The sequence below is a fragment of the Homo sapiens genome, chromosome 1 (assembly GCF_000001405.40).
Source record: "Homo sapiens chromosome 1, GRCh38.p14 Primary Assembly".
In the NCBI taxonomy this organism is placed as follows: Eukaryota; Metazoa; Chordata; class Mammalia; order Primates; family Hominidae; genus Homo; species Homo sapiens.
In genome coordinates, this window is record NC_000001.11 from 21398976 (window position 1) to 21418836 (window position 19861).

At 43.4% G+C, this 19861-nt stretch overlaps 1 long non-coding RNA gene and 1 pseudogene across 2 annotated transcripts; both read right to left on the reverse strand.

Moving 5' to 3' along the window:
* Window positions 12481-13015, reverse strand: PDE4DIPP10 (PDE4DIP pseudogene 10; annotated as a pseudogene).
* Window positions 13692-17568, reverse strand: LOC105376832 (uncharacterized). 2 transcript variants are annotated; one of them, XR_947044.2, is made up of 3 exons: window positions 17446-17568; window positions 14200-14315; window positions 13692-13875 (listed from the first exon to the last, which is right to left on the reverse strand). It is a non-coding gene; the product is annotated as an uncharacterized LOC105376832 (long non-coding RNA). The 2 variants fall into 2 exon arrangements; XR_947043.2 differs by lacking the exon at window positions 17446-17568 and adding an exon at window positions 14934-15104.
* Between the last annotated feature and the right edge of the window lie 2293 nt (window positions 17569-19861).

The window sequence follows — 19861 nt, forward strand, 5'->3', positions numbered from 1 at the left end:
TCCACCCTTCTCCTGTGATCTAGGATTTCTGACAAAGCTGGCTTGAGACTGGTCACTTAGAGCCAACTGTCTCCTCTGCCTTTTGTTTTTCAGCTTCAGAGACAGATCCAATATAGTCCCAAGGACCTGGGTCCCTGGGAAAGAAAGCAAAAGGGAAGGAGCAAAGAGATGGGGTATATCCCCTACACTACACTCTTACCTCTTAATTTCTAGGCTTTGATTTCTCTGCCAGCCCAGATGTTCAGTTCTCTTGGCCCTCCCTACCCCTTTGCTGGGATCTTGTTGTCATTTTCTTTTGCCAGTTCTTTTGCCCTACACAGTTGCAGAGATCAGTCAAATCCACACCACCAGTGAGATCTCATTCATTGCCACAGATGCACAAAATAAATAACCCAAAATCACACGCACAAAAAATCATACAGGAAGCATTGTCAAATACGAAACGGTGTTTGGCTTTCTTTGGGCTATATTTGTATAAATATGTTATTGGTATGTGTTCCAAAGTTATGGGAAACTCCTGTGTTATAATTGTTATGTAAAATTATTGAAAGTCATAGAAGTAACCACAATTCCTAGTCAAATATGACTTTAATAATGGCTGTCCTAAGACTTTGTGTCATCCATAGACAATTGTTGACTTGTTTTAATCCTCTTTGAAAGGTGGTTTATAATCAGCTATAGGTCTTTGACAGGTGATCTTAAACGCAGGTTTCAGATAACTTTGGAGACTGTGACGTTAGAATAGAGGAAAAACTTTCAGGACTGTCATAGCTGAAATGTTTATTAATGTCAAGCAGAGCAGGCATTAATTGCATGGACTGAACTAATAACAGAAGACCGAAATAATCCTTTTATGACTTTTTGCTTAAAATGTTGCTGATCCTTTGTTTTGTTTTTCAGAGTCAAGAAAACTTTTAAGCTATTTACTTTTTTTTTTTTTTTTTTGAGACAGTCTTGTTCTGTTGCCCAGGCTGGAGTGCAGTGGTGCAATTTCAGCTCACCACCACCTCTGCCTCCTGGGTTCAAGCAATTCTTGTGCATCAGACTCCCGAGTAGCTGGGACTACAGGTGGGCACCATCACACCCAGCTAATTTTTTATATTTTTAGTAGAGACGGGGTTTTGCCATGTTGGCCAGGCTGGTCTCAAACTCCTGACCTCAGGTGATCTGCCCACCTCGGCCTCCCAAAGTGTTGGGATTATAGGCGTGAGCCACTGCGCCCAGCCTATTTACAGTTTTTGATAATTGAGTAAAGTATACTCCTATAAACAAAAGTTGGGGCATATTTGTTTCTCTCTACCTTATTTATCCAGAATTTGGAAACCACTTGTGAGTATTCTTAACTTATGGCAATACAGTTATTTGCATAAGTGCAGTAAGAATCTGTCTTCATTTGTAATAGGACACAATTGGAGAAACTGGTAATTTTACCAAGGCTTTGACTGGAGTGGCATGCTTTTCTTTAAGGAATCAAAATTAACATATAGAGCCAATAAAAGCCCCTTGGGAAAACTGGCTTTATACCTTGTCTACACAGTCTCTGTACAGTGTTCCTGACCTGTGTTAAGTAAAGAATGTCACTTTCTGACAGGCCCAGGAGCCCCAAGTTATATTGGGACCTCAAGAGGAGAGAAATTTACCCAACTCATACAGGTAGTTGACAGTAATAACCCATGGCTTGGCTTGACTTTAAAAAAAAGTCTTATCTAAGATTTCTTATGGAGCAAAGTTCCATCAAAGCCAATTTAAAAAGGAGGCTATATGGCAAATAATTATTCTTGCTGCACTTTATACAAATAATCAGGCCAAGTATAATAAGACTAATGCTTATTTTGCAAATGAATCAGTCTTACAATGATTTGTCTTTAGTAAAAATGAGGGCTGGAGAGAGAAAAATTGTTTCAAGAACTATGGTACACTTGTTATTAAGTTCTAGTCCCATCAGTTGTTTTTGAGTTTTTTTTCTACAATTTAGACTGACTCTGCTTATTCCTGTGAACCGACCAATGATCTCTGGCTACAGCTAAGAAGAAACAAGAGGGATGGTTAATTTAAAAATCTAGACCAATATTCTATTTCTGGGCACGTATTGGAATCGGCTAGCAATGTTATGTCAGCTTGGTTCCAACAGTTGCCTGCTTCATGGGAAGCCTTCTTAATTTAATTTACCTGGGATAGTTTAACTTATTTTGCTTTACTGTTGTGGAATATATTGCCATTGTACTCTTTGTGTAGGAATGCAGGATAAGCTTACTCAATGTTTTCTTAAATTGAACACTTATTAATCTTCCGGATACCACCTTTTGTCAGAACTCAGAGTTATGAGTAGCCCTCACCATACAGATAATTTCTAACTGAGTTCCTCTCTACCCTGAATACGACAGACCCTGTTAGGCAGGAATATCATCTCCCCTATTCAGCCTGAAGAATTTACAGAAGATTGATCTTTGTCCCCTATAACCCTTAGGATTAAGGGGACCCTTGTAAAAGGGAGGGGGGAAAATATGTCAGAGGCATTTGAACCAGAGCAATTCCATCTTGAACAGAGGGTGGGTAAAACGAGGTTGAGACCAGGCCGGGCGTGGTGGCTCACGCCTGTAATCCCAGCACTTTGGGAGGCCGAGGCAGGTGGATCATGAAGTCAGGAGTTCGAGACCAGACTGACCAACATGGTGAAACCCTGTCTCTACTAAAAATACAAAAATTAGCCAGGCATGGTGGTGCACACCTGTAATCCCAACTACTCAGGAGGCTGAGGCAGGAGAATCGCTTGAACCCGGGAGGTGGAGGTTGCAGTGAGCCGAGATTGTGCCATTGCCCTCCTGCCTGGGTGACAGAGCAAGACTCCGTCTCAAAATAAATAAATAAATAAATAAATAAATAAATAAATAAATAAATAAATCTGAGACCTACTGGGCTGCATTCCAAAGAGGTTAGGCATTCTTAGTCACAGGATGACATAGCAGGTCAGCACAAGACACAGGTCACAAAGACCCTGCTGATAAAACGGGATGCAGTAAAGAAGCCGGTCAAAACCCACCAAAACCAAGATGGCGATGAAAGCGACCTCTGGTCATCCTCACTGCTCATTATATGTGAAATATAATACATTAGCATGCTAAAAGACATGGCACCAGTGCCATGACAGTTTACAAATGCCATGGCAACATCTGGAAGTTACCCTATATGGTCCTAAAAGGGGAGGAATCCTCATTTCTGGGAATTGCCTTCCCCTTTCATGGAAAACTCATGAATAATTTACACCTTGTTTAGCATATAATCAAGAAATAACTATAAGTATAATCAGTTGAGCAGCCCATTCCACTGCTCTGCCTATGGAATAGCCGTTCTTTTATTCCTTTACTTTTTTAACAAACTTGCTTTCACTTTATGAACTCACCCTGAATTCTTTCTTGTGTGAGGTCCAAGAACCCTCTCTTGGGGTTTAGATTGGGACTTCTTTCGGTAACATTGTTATCACACTCAAGAATTTTTTATAAAAAATATATTTAAATATAATTCACATCTCATACAATTCACTCATTTAAAGAATATAATTCTATGTTTTTAGCATACCCAGAGTTATGAAATGATCATCACAATCAATTTCAGAATATTTTTATCACCCTAAAAAGAAGCCTGTACCCATTAACTGTCACTCCCCATTTTTCCTTCAAACCTCTTCTCCTGCTGCTTACCCCCAACCCCAGCACAAGGCAACTACCAATCTACGTTCTCTCTCTGTGGATTTGCCTATTCTGGACATTTCAAAAAAATGGAATTATACAATATGTGCAATATGTGGTCCTTTGTAGCTGGCTTCTGTCATTTTGCATAATGTTTTCAAGATCTGTCCATTTTGTAGCACATATCAATACTTCTTTTCTTTTCTTTATTGAATTGAGGTAAAAGTCACATAACATTCACCATTTCAATAATTTTAAAGTGTACAATTCAGTGGCTTCCAGTACATTCACAATGTTGGGCAATTGTCTTACCTGTTCCTGCTGTTGTAACAAAATATCTTAGACTGGGTAATTTATAAACAACAGAAATTTATTTCTCACAGTTCTGGAGGATGGGAAATCCAAGTTCAAGGTGTCAGATTTGGTGTCTGGTGAGGGCCTGCTAATCATAGATGGTGCCTTCTCTGTGTCTTCACATGGCAGAAGGGTGCTAACCGCTCCTTCTGACCTCTTTTATTTTTTAATTAATTAATTAATTAATTATTTTTTTGAGACAGGGTCTCATTCTGTCACCCAGTCTAAAGTGCGGTGGCAAGATCAAAGCTCACTACAGCCTCAGCTTCCCAGGGCTCAGGTGATCTTCCCATCTCAGCCTCCCGAGTAGCTGGGACTACAGGCATGCACAACCATGCCTGGGTAATTTTTGTATTCTTTATAGAGACAGGGTTTCACCATATTGCCCAGCCTGGTTTTGAACTCCTAGGCTCAAGTAACCTACCTGCCTTGGTCTCCCAAAGTGCTAGGATTATAGGCATGAGCTACTGCACCCAGCCTTCTGACCTCTTTTATAGGGGCACTACCCCCATCTTATGACCTAGTCACCTGCTAAAGGCCCCACCTCTTAATACTATCGCGTTGGGTATTAGGTTCCAACATATAAATTTGAAGGGCACACTAACATTCAGACCATAGGATTTTCCCCTGGCTGCCCAAATTCATGGTCTTCTCCATGCAAAATTCCATCTCAATAGCTCCCAAGATCTTGTTCTAGCACCGACTCAAAAGTCTGAAGTCCAGAATCTCATCTAAATCAGACATAAGTGACTCAAAAGTGTGATTAAGGCCAGGTGCAGTGGCTTACGCCTGTAATCCCAGCACTTTGGAAGGCTGAGGTTGGGGGATGAATTGAGGCCAGGCATTTGAGACCAGCCTGGCCAACATGACAAAACCCCATCTCTACTAAAAATACAAAAATTAGCCAGGCGTGGTGGTGCATGCCTGTAGTCCCAGCTACTCTGAGGCAAAAGAATCGTTTGGCTGGGCGCTGTGGCTCACGCCTGTAATCCCAGCACTTTGGGAGGCCAAGGTGGGCGGATCACAAGGTCAGGAGATCCAGACCATCTTGGCTAACACAGTGAAACCCCGTCTCTACTAAAAATACAAAAAAATTAGTGGGGCGTGGTGGCGGGCACCTGTAGTCCCAGCTACTCAGGAGGCTGAGGCAGGAGAATGGCGTGAACCCGGGAGGCGGAGCTTGCAGTGAGCTGAGATCATGCCACTGCACTCCAGCCTGGGTGACAGGGAGACTCCGTCTCAAAAAAAAAAAAAAAAAAAAAAGAATCGCTTGAACCCAGGAGACGGAAGTTGCAGTGAGCTGAGATCGCGCCACTGCTCTCCAGCCTGGGCAACAGAGCAAGACTCTATCTCAAAAAAAAAAAAAGAAAAAAGAAAAAGAAAAAGAAACGCCGGGCGCGGTGGCTTTCGCCTGTAATCCCAGCACTTTGAGAGCCTGAGGCGGATGGATCACAAGGTCAGGAGTTCAAGATCAGCCTGGCCAAGATGGTGAAACCCCGTCTCTACTAAAAATACAAAAATCAGCCAGGCATGGTGGCGGGTGCCTGTAATCCCAGCTACTTGGGAGGATGAGGCAGAAAATTACTTGAACCTGGGAGTTGGAGGTTGCAGTGAGTTGAGATCGCGCCACTGCACTCCAGCCTGGGCAACAGAACGAGACTCCGTCTCAGAAAAAAAAAAAAAAAGTGTGTACTATCCTGAGGCAAATTCTTCTTCAGTGGTGAGCCTGTGAAATCAAACAAGGTATGTGCTTTCTAAATACAATGGTGGGACAGGCAAAGGACAGACATTTTTATTCCAAACAGGAGTAGGAAAGAAGAAAGAGATAAGAGATCTCAACCAAATAAAAAACCCAGCAAGGCAAACATTAAATCTTAAGGCTCCAGAATATTCTTCTTTGACTTGATATTCTGCAATCTGGACACACTGGGTTGGGGATTGGACTCCCAAGGTTCCAGGCAACCCTGTTTCCATGGGTTTGCTAGGCCCAGCCCATACCACACCTGTCATAGGTTAGAGTCCGGTGCCTACAGCTGTCCCAAGCTGGAATTGCATGCCCATGGCTCTATCTTCCTGGGGTCTTGGGAACAGTCCCACTCCCACATCTCTGCTAAGGCTTTCCCTATTGGAGGCTCTCTGTGGTGGTCTCACCCTTGTGGTAGCTTCTGCCTGGGTCATGAGGCCAAGGCTCCGGGTGGCTCCATCCTTTAAAATGTAGGTGAAGACAGGCATGTCCCACATCTCATGCACTCTTTGGACTAGTGGAGATGGCACCATGAAGACGTCGCAAAGGTCTACTGCCTGTGCCTTCTGGAGGAGCAGCCTGAGCTACACAGCTGGGTGGCCAAGGAGCACTGAAATCATTTTGTTCCCAAGGCCTTAGCATTCTGGGCCTGTGCTGGGATAAGCAGCCCCAGCAATCTCCAAAAATGCCTTTGGGGTCATCCTTCCATTGTCCTGATGAACAGCATCTGGCTCTCTTCTATTTGCATGAATCTCCTTACCAAATGGTTGCTTGGCCACACCCTTGGTGTTCCCTCCCAACCATGCTTTTTCTTTTCCTTTTTTTTGAGACAGGGTCTTTCTCTGTCACTCAGGCTAGAGTGCAGTGGTACAATCTCAGCTCACTGCAGCTGCAGCCTCCCAGTCTCAAGCAATCCTCCCAGCTCAGCCTCCCAAGTAGCTGGGACTACAGGTGCTTGCCACAATGCCAGGCTGCTTTTTTTTTTTTTTTTGAAACAGAGTCTCACTCTGTCACCCAGGCTGGAATGCAGCGGCGTGATCTTGGCTCACTGCAACCTCCGCTTCCCAGGTTCAAGCAATTCTCCTACCTCAGCCTCCCGAGTAGCTGGGATCACAGGCGCCTGCCACCAAGCCCAGCTAATTTTTGTATGTTTAGTAGAGACAGGGTTTCGCCATGTTGGCCAGGCTGGTCTCGAACTCTTGACCTCCAGTGATCCACCCACCTTGGCCTCCCAAAGTGTTTGCATTACAGGCATGAGCCACCACGCCCAGCCCCAGGCCCCTTTCATAAGGGAACTAATTACCTCCTAAAGGCCCCACCTCTTAATAGTATCACATTAGGTATTAGGTTCTAACATACGAATTTTGGGGAGAAATCAACATTCAGACCATAGCAGCAACCATCATCACGAGGACATTTTCATCACCCTAAAAAGACTCCTTGTAGCTCTTAAACAGTCACTCCCATTCCCCACCCCCTCAGCCCTAGGCAACCACTCATCTCCTTTCTGTCTCTACAGATTTGCCTATTCTAGACATTTCATACAAATGGAATCGTACAATATGTGGCTTTTTATATTTGGCTTATTTCATTTAGTATAATATTTTCAATATTTTTTCCAGGTTGTACTGCATATTAGTACATCATTCTGAATAATATTCCATTTTATGGATATACCACATTTTGTTTATCCATTTATGAGTTGATGGACATCTGGGTTGTGTCTGCCTTTTGACTATTATAAATGATGCTGCTCTGAACATTGGTGTGCAAGTTTTTGTTTGAACACTTGTGTTCAGTTCTCTTGGATATATATCTAGGAGTGGAAGTGCTGGGTCATATGTTTAACTTTTTGAAGAATTGCTAAACTGTTTTTCACAGAGACGACACCATTTTACATGTCCAGAAGCAATGTGTGAGGGTTCCAATTTCTACATATTTTTACACTTCTTCGAGTCTGTCTTTTTTTTATTACAGTGGATGTGAAGTGGTATCTCACTGTGGTTTTGTTGGCATTGACTAATTTGGTTAACTTGAATCTTAAACTCAGCTGATAAAAAAAGAAATAGATAATTTCCATTGACCCTAGTGACTAATGATGTTGGGCATTATTTCATGTGCTTATTGGCCACTGTATATCTTCTTTGGAGAATTGTCTGTTCAAGTCCTTTGCCCCCTTTTTTTTTTTTTTTTTGAGAGAGAGAGAGTCTGGAGTGCAGTGGTGCAATCATGGCTCACTGCAGCCTCGACCTCCCAGGTTCAAGCAATCCTCCCACCTCAGCCTCCTGAGTAGCTGGGACTACAGGTGCATGCCATCATGCCCAGCTAATTTTTGTATTTTTTTGTAGACAGGGTTTCACCATGTTGCCCAGGCTGGTCTCAAACTCCTGGGCTCAAGCAATCCTCCTACCTTGGCCTCCCAAGGTGTTGGGATTACAGGTGTGAACCACTGCACCCAGCCTTTTGTCCATTTTTTAAATTGGACTGTTTGTCTTTTTGTTGTTGTGTCATAGAAGTTCTTTATATATTCTGGATACCAGATCCTTATCAGATATATGATTTGCAAATATTTTCTCTATTTCTGTGGGATGTCTTTTTACTTTCTTTATTGTGTCCTTTGATGCACAAACATTTTAAATGTTGATGAAGTTCAATTTATTTTTTTCTTTTGTAGTTTGGGCTTTTGGTGTCATACCTAAGAACCCATTGCCAAATCCAAGGTTATGAAGATTTACCCCTATGTTTTCTTCTAGGAATTTTTTAGTTTTAACTCTTACATTTAGGCATTTAATCCATTTTCAGTTAATTTTTCTTTGAGAGAGAGGGCTTCATTCTGTCATTCAGGCTGGAGTGCAATGGTACCACCATGGCTCACTGCAGCCTCAACCTCCTGGGCTCAAGTGAGCTTCCTGCCTCAGCCTCCTAAAGTGCTGGGTTTACAGGCATGAACCACTGTGCCTGACTGAGTTAATTTTTGTATATGGCATGAGGTAAGGGTGTCCAACGTCAGTCTTTTGCATGTGGATATCCAGTTGTCCCAGCACTGTTTGTTGAAAAGACTATCCTTCCCCCATTGAATGATTTTGGCACTCTTGTAGAAAATTATTGTATCATATATTTATGGGTTTACTTCTGGACTTTCATTTGTATTCCACTGATTTCTATGTCTGTCTTCCTGCCCAGCACTATACTGCCTTGAATAATGTAGCTTTGTGGTATGCTTTGAAATCAAGAATTGTGAGTCCTCAGCTGGGCGTGGTGGCTCACGCCTGTACTCTCAACACTTTGGGAGGCTGAGGTGGGCGGATCACGAGGTCAGAAGATCGAGACCATCCTGGCCAACATGGTGAAACCCTGTCTCTACTCAAAATACAAAAATTAGCTGGGCATGGTGGCAGGCGCCTGTAGTCCCAGCTACAGGGGAGGCTAAGGCAGGAGAATCGCATGAACCAGGGAGGTGGAGGTTGCAGTGAGTGGAGATGGCGCCACTGCACTCCAGCCCAGAGACAGAGCAAGACTCCGTCTCAATAAAAAAAAAAAAAAAAAGAATTGTGAGTCCTCCAATTTTGTTCTTTTTCAAGATTGTTTTGGCTATTATAAGTCTCTTGAGTTTCCATACGCTTGTTCATATCTGAAAAACAATTTGATAGGCAATGAATTGAATCTATAGATCAATTTGGGGAATATTACCATCTTATAAATATTAAGTTATCCAATCTATGAACATGGGTTATCTTTCTATTTTTTTAGATCTTCTTTAAGATTTGGGCAGGGCACAGTGGCTCACACCTGTAATCCCAACACTTTGGGAGGCTGAGGCAGGTGGGTCGCTTGAGCCTAGGAGTTTAAGACCAGTTTGGATGGCATAGTGAGACCTCCGTTTCTACAAAAAATAAACAAAATTAGTCTAGTGTGGTGGCACACCCACCTGTGGTCCCAGCTACTGGGGAGGCTGAGGTGGGAGGATCCCTTGAGCCTGGGAGGTCGAGGTTGCCTGGGAGCCACTGCACCTGCACTCTAACCTGGGCAACAGAGTGAGGGTCTGTCTCTCTCCCTCTCTCTTTCACACACACACATAAAGATTTGCAATGGTATGCAGTTTCAGTGTATAAGTCTTGCATTTCTTTGGCAGAAATTATTTCTATTTTATTCTTTTTGATCCTAATGTAAATAAAATTATTTAATCAATTTTACTTCGAGATTGTCTACTGCTAGTGTATAAAAATACCATTTATTGGCCAGGCACTGTGGCTCATGCCTGTAATCCCAGCACATTGGGAGGCCAATGTGGGTGGATCACCTGAGGTCGGGAGTTTGAGACCAGCCTGACCAACATGGAGAAACCCTGTCTCTACTAAAAATAGAAAGTTAGGCAGGCATGGTAGTGCATGCCTGTAATCCAAGTTACTCGGGAGGCTAAGGCAGGAGAATCATTTGAACCCAGGAAGCGGAGGTTGCGGTGAGCCGAGATCATGCCATTGTACTGTAGCCTGGGCAATGAGAGCAAAACTCCATCTCAAAACAAAAAACAAACAAACAAACAAAATTTATTTATTTATTTATTTATTTTTGAGATGGAGTCTTGCTCTGTTGCCCAGGCTGGAGGGCAATGGCGTAATCTCGGCTCACTGCAAGCTCCGCCTCCCGGGTTCACGCCATTCTCCTGCCTCAGCCTCCCAAGTAGCTGGGATTACAGGCACCTGCCACCACACCCAGCTAATTTTTGTATTTTTAGTAGAGACGGGGTTTCACCATGTTAGCCAGGATGGTCTCAATCTCCTGACCTTGTGATCTGCCCACCTCGGCCTCCCAAAGTGCTGGGATTACAGGCATGAGCCACTACGCCTGGCAAAACCATTTATTTTTATATATTAATTTTGTATCCTGCAACCTTGGTGAGTTTATTTATTAGTTCCAATAGTTTTTAAAGTGAATTCCTTAGGATTTTCTATATACAAAATGATGTCACCTGAGAATTGATATCATTTAATTCTTCCTTTCCAATCTGTATGTCTTTTATTATTATTTTTTTCTTGCCTGTTTGCTTTGGCTTGACTCTCCAGCACAATATTCAATAGAAGTGGTGAGAGCAAATATTCCTGTGTCCTTGATCTTAGGGAAAACACCAGTAAGTATTATATTAGCTGTGGGTTTTTTATAAACGTCCATGGTATGGTTTGTCTGTGTCCCCATCCAAATCTCATCTTGAACTCCCAAGTGTTGTGGCAAGGACCCAGTGGGAGGTAATTAAATCATGGGGGAATATCTTTCCCATGCTGTTCTTGTGATAGTGAATAAGTCTCACAAGATCTGATGGTTTTAAAAAATGGGAGTTTCCAATTGCACAAGCTCTTCTTCTCTTATCTGCCATCATGTGAGATGTGCCTTTCACCTTCCACCATGATTGTGAGGCCTCCCCAGCCACATGGAACTGAAAGTCCATTAAACCTCTTTCTTTTGTAAATTGCCCAGTCTTTATGTCTTTATCAGCAGCACGACTAATATCGTCCATTATCAGGTTGAAGAAAGTTCCCTTCTCTTTCTAGTTTGTTGAGTCTTTTTAACACGATAAGATGTTAGATCTTTCCAAATATTTTTTTCTGCATCAACTGAAATGATCATATAGTTTTATTCCTTTATTGTGTATTAATATGTTATATTATATTGATTGATTTTTGTATGGTAAACCAATCTTGCATTCCGGGGATAAATCCAAGTTGGTCATGGCATATAATCCTTTTAATATGCTGCTGGATTCTGTTTGCTGATATTTTCTTGAGAATTTTTGCATGTTTATTCACAAGAGATATTGGTCTACAGCTTTCTTTTCTTGTGATGTTTCTGTCTGGCATTGGTATCAGGGTAATACAAGCATCATAAAATGAGCTGGGATGTTTTCCCTCCTTTATTTTTGGGGAAGTGTTTTAGAAGGATTGGTGCTAATTCTTCCTTAAATGGTTCATATAATTCACCAGTAACACCATGTAGTCCTGGGGCTTTTCTTTATTGGAAGTTTTTTGACTACTGATTGAATCTCTTTACTTGTCATAGGTCTATTTAGATTTTTTTTTTCTCTTTTTGATTCAGTTTTGGCAGTTTGTCTTTTGAGAAATTTATCCATTTCATCTATGTTATCGAATTTGTTAGTATACAATTGTTCATAGTATTCTCCTATAATCCTTTTTATTTCTGTAAGGTTGGTGGTAATGTTCCCGTTTTCATTTCTGATTTTTATAATTTGAGTCTTCTCCCTTTTTTCACTGGCCAGTCTAGCTAAAAGTTTGTCAATTCTGTCAATCTTTTCAAAGAAACAACTTTGGTTTCGTTGATTTTATCTATTGTTAAGGTAAGGACAAAGGCTCAGAAAGGTTAAGAAGGTTGAATGGGTATAAGCATCAGAGCTAGGCAGTCTGATTCCAGTATTACTACTATACTATACTATACCATATATACTGTTACTTTACTAATATATCCCTAAGAGGAATTCCCTGAGACCTGGTATCTTGCAGATGATGGGACATCATCCTATGCCCTCCTGCTTGCCTACCTGTCTTTTCCACAGACCTATATCTACCATTTAAATCAGTGTCCTTGTGAATACCCAGACATGTTCTTTCTTCCAACTGCTTGAGCTACCCTACACCAAGCACAAACTTACACATTTTCAATCCAGAAAATGCCTAAACAGTGCCATCCTTACCTAGGCCACGAGGCTGATCTCAGCTCCTCAGCCAGCTTCCCTTCTAGTTGATTTTTTTGGGAGCTGGACCTCCAGCTGGGATACTCTCTGGATGAGACTCTCCAGGTCCTTTTTGGCCTGAAGTCCTGGAGAGTAGAAAGCCCCAGTGCCATCAGACAGCCACACCTCATCCTCATCAGTGACACTATGAGGTGAAGACCCCTCCAGGGTGCCAACAGCTCCCAGCTTCCAGGGTCTTTCCAGACTAGACAAATAATCACTTGTAACCAAGAGGGACCAGACCCGGATCTTGAGGTTTTGAATGACCTTGTTGGCATTCTGCAGCTGGGCCTTCAGATCTTTGATGTCCTTTCGTAGGACTGAGATGTTTTCTGACTTTCCATATACCCAGAACTCTTCCTGCTTCCCTAGCTGGTTCTCCAAGGGCTTCCTCTCGGAGGAACTAGCCAGCGTTGAGCCCCGGCACCCCTGCTTAGAGCACAGCCCCTCCATCAGGACCATTTCCTTGAGGCTGTTGTGCTCCTCACACTCTGAAAAAAGACAAAGATGTCTTCCTAAATAAAAGTTGGATGTGCTGTTGTGGCCACTGCCTTTGAGAGGAGGCAGGTTTGGTCACGAGGACAATAATTACTATGGAAAAAGTTGAAGTAGTACTTTATTCAACCCTGACACTGTACTAAGCATTCAAATACAATATTTCTTATCCTCCTTATATCCACAAATTAGGTTTCACCACTTTCTATTTTACCGACTGGGGAAACCAAAACTTAAAGAGAGGTGGTCAACTAGCTTGTTCTAGATCACTCAAACTAGCACATGGCAGAGCCAGAATTCAAATCCTCCAATGTCCTGTGTTCATTCCACACACACTGATGTTTCTTAAGACATTAACGTGGCCTTATCTAGTTAGGATAGCCACAAGAATGTAGGACAAGCTATTTCTGCATGCTGCAAGTTTAATGCTCTCTAAATTTTAGTATAATTTAAAAGTTTATTGGGTTACAACTGTGTGAAAAATAGGCAAAGGAAAATAAGACTTCGAATAAATATATCAGCATGTTAACATCAGTGTATTGGGGCGGTGGTAGTCAGAATGAGAACTAATCCACAGCATTTTACCCAATGCCAGGCACTGTTCTAAAGCATTTTATAAGAATTTACTCGTTTAATTGACATTAGTACCTGATGGGGTGGGTAGTTCCTTTATTACTATTTTAACATTTGAAGAAACTGGGGCATAGGAAAGTTTACAAATCGGGATTTGAAGCAACAAGTCTGGCCCCAGGATCTTTTCTCTTAACTGCCACACTACACTTCCTCAAGAATGAGAGAGACTGTGTTTTTCTTCTCTTCTGGTTTTCAATGTGGTGGGTGGCCCTATAGTTGTAGTCCTTTTATAATGCAAAACAAAATTATTTTTAACTTACGGTTTGCATGTTTCCAAAACCTCATGTGGTCTCTAAGTAGGCCTTAGTATTTCTATAATAATCAGTTGGATAGAACTTTATATGATTATTATTATTATTAGCAGTATGCCACAAACTCATTGTAGAAATTCAAACTTATACTCAGCCTCATTTTGGGTAACAGTTCTCCTATTAACCTCCTGTCCTCCTCTTCCCCACTACTTGTCAGGTGTGGAATTGGCCAACAGCACCCAAATGTGACAGCTGACTCCAGGGAGGGAAGGTGAGCCCCATACCCTGTGCTCTTACCGGTACTGGTGGTTTCCTCCTGTTCAGCCTCATTCTTGCTTTGGCACAAGTCTCATAGCCCAGGTCCTGGAGGTCCACCTGGACCTGCTTGCTGTCCTGCTTCAGCAAGGGTTCACCTGCGTGGGAAGAGACAGCAGGTGTTACAGAATGTCTGAATTTCCCACATATGCCCTCAGCTTCAATGGCACATACCCTAACCTTGTGGGGCAGGGAGGGCAGCTCCACAGTGCGAGAGAAGCTTCTTTGAACTGGTGGGAGAAGAGACCACCAGCTCCAGGAAGCAGAATTTCTTTCCACAGGAGGAGCCTGCATTTGCCATTGATAATCTCCCCTTCAGATAACCTAGGCCTTAGTTGGGACGAGACATGTGTAAGTCAGGGATTGTGTACTCTCATCTCTAGCAGCCCCATTGAAGCTGGCAAGTGCTTTATCAGCAGGGGTTCAATAAATGTTGAATGTAAAACATGGCTGATTACTTTTTATTTTCAATCCAACAAATCTCCATTTCTGGTGAGAAAATCTTGCCAAAACCAACCAAACAAATGCATAAAAGTATATGAAAAAGAAAATGAAAGCTTCCCTGCCTCCCAATCCCACTTGCTTGGTGTCAGCTATTATTTATTACATGGAGGAAGGGGGCGAGGCACCCAGGAAGTCCCAAGTCCTGTTCTGACAATCATCTGGCCTCCCTGGGCAAAGGGAAAAGAGGGAAGGCAAAAAGAGTATAACATTACTGTTTGCAGAAATTTCCCCTTGGTACAGGAAACTCTGGTAAACTGAGAGAGTATGTTTTCCATGAGGGAGGCCTCAAGGGCTCTTCTCTGGCCCTAAGCCCAAACTGGATTTTGCCTCATTTTCTAAGATGCAAAGGAAATGGTAAAAGTTGATCAAAGGAGAGGGCAGAGAAAGAAAGAGGACGACTCCTCCCTCTCAGGTCCACCTTCCCTGGTGTTGCTTGAGGGATCAGAGGAAATGCATGAACATAGGTGCGTGGGAGCTACGGCTGCTCTATGAACTCAGTGCCCTCCAGTTATGAGCTATTGTGAGGTTCCATGATGTAATGGTGAGAGCTTTGGACTCTGAGTAACGTGATCAGCATTCAAGTCTCAGTGGGACCTTTCTGTATAATGCCAGTGATGTTCCTATTGCTCCCTAAGCGGAATGGGGGAAATTGCCCCAGTCATGGTCACCCACCCTCCAGGCCACTGGCTGTGTGCAATTGGAGTCCTGGACCCAGTGACCCAGCAAGACCCCTCCCCTCTCAGGGCGACCCTGGGCCTCCAGGTGACAGGTCTCCTCCACTGAAAAGGCTGCCTCCCCTCAATCCTAGACCCCGAGTTTTCTTTTATTCCCATCATTGGGCCGTTGCCCTGTATCTCTGTGGAAGAAATGACCTATATGAAAAACTTCACTTCCGGGATTCCCTAATTCCTTCATCCCTTAGGACGGCGCAGTTTTTCAGCTCCTGGTCTTGGCTCCAGTTCTAATGCACACGTTTCATTTTCTTTTCATGGGATCCCCTCCAACTGGCTACCAGTGGATTCCTGTCCTTGGGATCTCTGTGGACGGCAACTAGATGCTGCTCTTGTCCCAAATCCTGACACCTCTCTCCAGGAAATTGCCTCCCTCAGCCTCCTAAATCAGCCAATATTTAGATTTGGGCCTGGGATCGCAGCAACTGTGGAGAACAGAGGTTCCCGATCCCTGGCCAGCTCTCCCGCAGTGAAGGGGAGAGGAGCACAGCAGCTGGGAGGGGCAAGTCTGGGGCCCTGGGCAACCCCCTTCTTCCTGCCCAGACTCTGCTCCAAGGAGCAGTTGCCTTAGGACCAGATCAGATGGAAACTCTTTTGTTCTCTTCTCATCAGCAGAAAAATTTAGGCAAGAGCTCTGGAGGAACTTCCTAGCTCATAAAAATGGTGTGGCCAAATCTCTCCAGTTTTGGAAATGCCCAAGGTTACCAAGTATTTTGAGGGCTCACTTTGGAGCCTCTGAAAAGGAGGGGTGAGGGCCCATGGAAGGTACCTGAGGGATGCAGGGGAGAGAGGGGAAAGAGCAGACAGGAGGGAGGAGAGAAGGAGGGAGGGGGAGAAAGGGCGCATGAGGGCCAGGAGCCAGGATTCACCCTGACAGTTCAGTGACTGCTCCCTGCCCCCAAGGTTCCCACTGTGACACCTTGCAGCAGGTGGTTTTCATCTCTTATTGATATCCTATGAACTTGGCTCTATGGAACGGCCCCATCCTATTTGTCTGGCGTGAGTCCTGACAAAGTTTCTTTGCATCGTTTGGGGGATGAGATGGGGGTATATAGGTTTGCAAGTGACTAGGAGCTAAGTCAGGACCTTGTGGAGCCACTCAGAGTCAACTGTCAAGTAGCCTCCTTCCCCCATTCCCTTGCAGGACGATTGCCTGCAAGACAGGGCCTGGAGAAGTCCAGGGCACCCAAGGCCACAGAAATGTCTGGGGATGAGTCCCGGCTGCAGATGCCTTGGCTGAACTCACTGTGTACTTCCAGGGTGCACAGGGCAGGGACTCTGGGGGTCTGGCCGGGAGACTGAGCAAGGGGACCAGGGAGGCTATGCAGAAGGCTTCTGCACAGCAGGACAGACATTCTTCTTGGAGCCCCCAACCTGAATCAGGTCTTCCACGTCCTCTTCGTGAAGACCCTTTACTGCAGTCATTCTTTTACTAGAACTGCAAGTTTATAGAACATAGATTTCAGTGCACTCATCTGGCCAACCATCTTCAGTGGCCAATGCCCAAGGTAATCCCTCCCTACCAAGACCTGAACTCAGGACCTTACCTTAAGGAGAAGATGTCCTGTTCTTTCTTTCCCACCAGAACTGCCCTGGCCCAGACCCCATTTCTGTCTGGTGACCAGGACAGTCCCCTCACCAGTCTCCCAGGTTGGGGAGGGCAGATTCTCCTCAACTCCCTGCCCCTGAGAGATCCCAACAGTCTTGTGTGTCTCCAGCCCACAGAGGACTATCCATGGCCCATATCTCTCAAAACTCTCCCCTCCCACTCTGAATCCACCCTCCACTGCATGCTCCCCTCACAGAACAGACGTGGTTTTTTTTCGTGTCCTCGTTTTGCCTACCCATACCCCATATTGACTTTTCTGTCTTAGAACTACCTGTCCCTCTTTGGACAGTGTCTTCTTGGTACTACACATGAAGATGTCCTGCTCTCCCCTGCTCAAGGATAGAGTGCCTGACCTGAGCTGGGCCCATCAGATCTAGTACTTACCCGGAATAGGAAAAAGATGGAGAGGGTGACCAAAGATTACAAAAATCTCCGAAGCTTATCCACTTGAGAGAGAGTCCCTGAAGATACTGGCCTTTCATTCCCGCTATGTATATCCAATGTGACTGAACTCTGAATAACATATACAGGTTATAATAATGTAGTAGTTGGCCCTCAAACTAGGACACAAACATGTTAGAGGGTAAGGTAGTGAGAGGCATGTTTGGGGGTGGTGGTGATGAGCAAGTATGTGAAGGAGAGATAGTGCCTACACTTGAAAATCAAAAAGTGATAATATCTATTTAGACATAAGGAGATAAATAACTAAATACTTGCTTCTATGTGATGAAACTCTGGGAGTACACAAGGGGACTGCTGTTTTACTAAACAAATTTTCAAGTCTATGTAACTTTGATAAAGTATCCAAATAAAAAAATTCCTTTCCCATATATGTATGTGTGTATATATGTATTTGTATACACATATATATTTGCATTTTTGTATTTTGAATGTAAATTTTTATACAGCCCTGTGAACCCCTCTTTTCATTTAAGGATTTGAGTTTGATGTCATGCATGCAATGTGATCCCACTGTGTGACTACAGAAATGTTGGCAAAAGTAAGTTCAGAGGAAATGGTAGGCAAGTACTTCCCAGTTTTGGCCAGAAGATGGAGAAAAAAAGAATTCTCATAGAATATTAAAAGTGTGACTTGTTACAGCTTCTTTTCATAGTAATTTGGATAGAAATTAGCAAATTCAGAAATGTATAAATACTTTGGTCTGACAATTCCATCTCCAGTTATCTACGGAGAAATAGACAAGTGATGCACGACAGATACATGTGTCAGTCTGGTCCCTGCAGTTGTATTTGTAATAATACACATTGGAGCAATTTCATGGCCATCGGTTAGAGAATGTTTGAAGAATGACCCATTAATATCAGGAAGGACGTTTCAAAGATCAAAGCCTGATGGAAATGCTGGAGGCCGTGACGCTGATAGGAGCTCATGCGTGTTGACCAACTGCTATGTGACAGGCATTGGCTCCACGCTTTTCCTGCGCTGCTCATTTAAACGTTGGACAAATTAAGTGTTCTGATTTAGCCCATTAGACAGATAGAAATGGAAGAACAGAAAATTAATGTGTTTAACTTTAAACGCTAGCAGATTAGGTTTTTCACCCAGAGCCTGTGGTTTCACCATAGGCGTGATTCAGGTTCTGTTGTTCTCCACTTTAGGAATTCCCTGTATTCCAAATATGAGAAGCTGAGAAAACAAACAAACAAACAAACTCAAAACCCTAAAAACCGGGATAAGTAAGGGTAGATGTTTGCTGGGTGTGGATTAATAATGAACTTTTTTTGCCCTAAGCAACAAAGAGGCACCTTGGAAAATAGACAAGGGACAAGAAGAGGAGAAGCTTTAAGATATATTTGGTCCAAGGAAGAGACTCTTCAGAGGGAAGGTCACATCAGCTAGAAACACTAATGCGACTGGATGGGCTCAAACCACCGACTTTTCAGTCAACTTCCAACAGCACTAACCTAGTGTTCCAGAGACACTGCTTGTTAAACAGTGAAAGCTGTTGCTCAATTGTGTCATCCATAATTGTCAAATATTGTCATTTAGTAGCACAAGGAAGTATTCTCTGTTGCCAAGCTAGAGTACCCATAACTCTTCTGTTTTGTTGAACATTCTTCCCCACCACAAACCCTCTTTAGAAGACTGGGGGCTCCTAAAACATTGAGGCCAAGCGTCCTGTCCTTGTGCACGTTTGGGCATTGGCCCAGGGCCAAATCAGTGGGAGACTCCTCCACGCACATGCCAGGTCCCCAGGTGACAACTGCAGTCCCTGGATCTGAGGTCATCTACTTTCCCATTCCTAGCTCACCTCACCCATCGTGAAGCCTGGTCAGGATTGCCAGAGACCCGAGTGGGCAGGTGCCTGCACTAAAGACAGAACCTGCTGTGTGCCCACCTTGCTGATCCCTCCATCCTTCTAGACAAGGCTTTGTGAGCCAAGGACCTTGGGTTTGCTCACAAGGCAGCCCCTCACCTAGTAGGCATTAGTTCATTATGTATAGTATATGTATATGTATATGTATATGTATAATGTGTATGTGTATGTGCATATGTATATGTATATGTATATGTAGTCCTCAGGTTGTATTCCTTAAATATATATAATATATGTAATTCCTTAAATATATAATTTTAATACAAAATTTTTAAAAGATTCCTTTCATAAACATTTACAATAACACCAAGAAATATAAACTACATAGCAAAGATGTGAAAGCCAGCGAGGCTCAGCTTCAAATCCTAGCACTTAGGAAGGCCGTGGCAGGAGGGTCACTTGAGCTCAGAAGCTTGAAACTAGCTTAGGCAACATAGTGAGACCTCATCTCTACTGAAAATC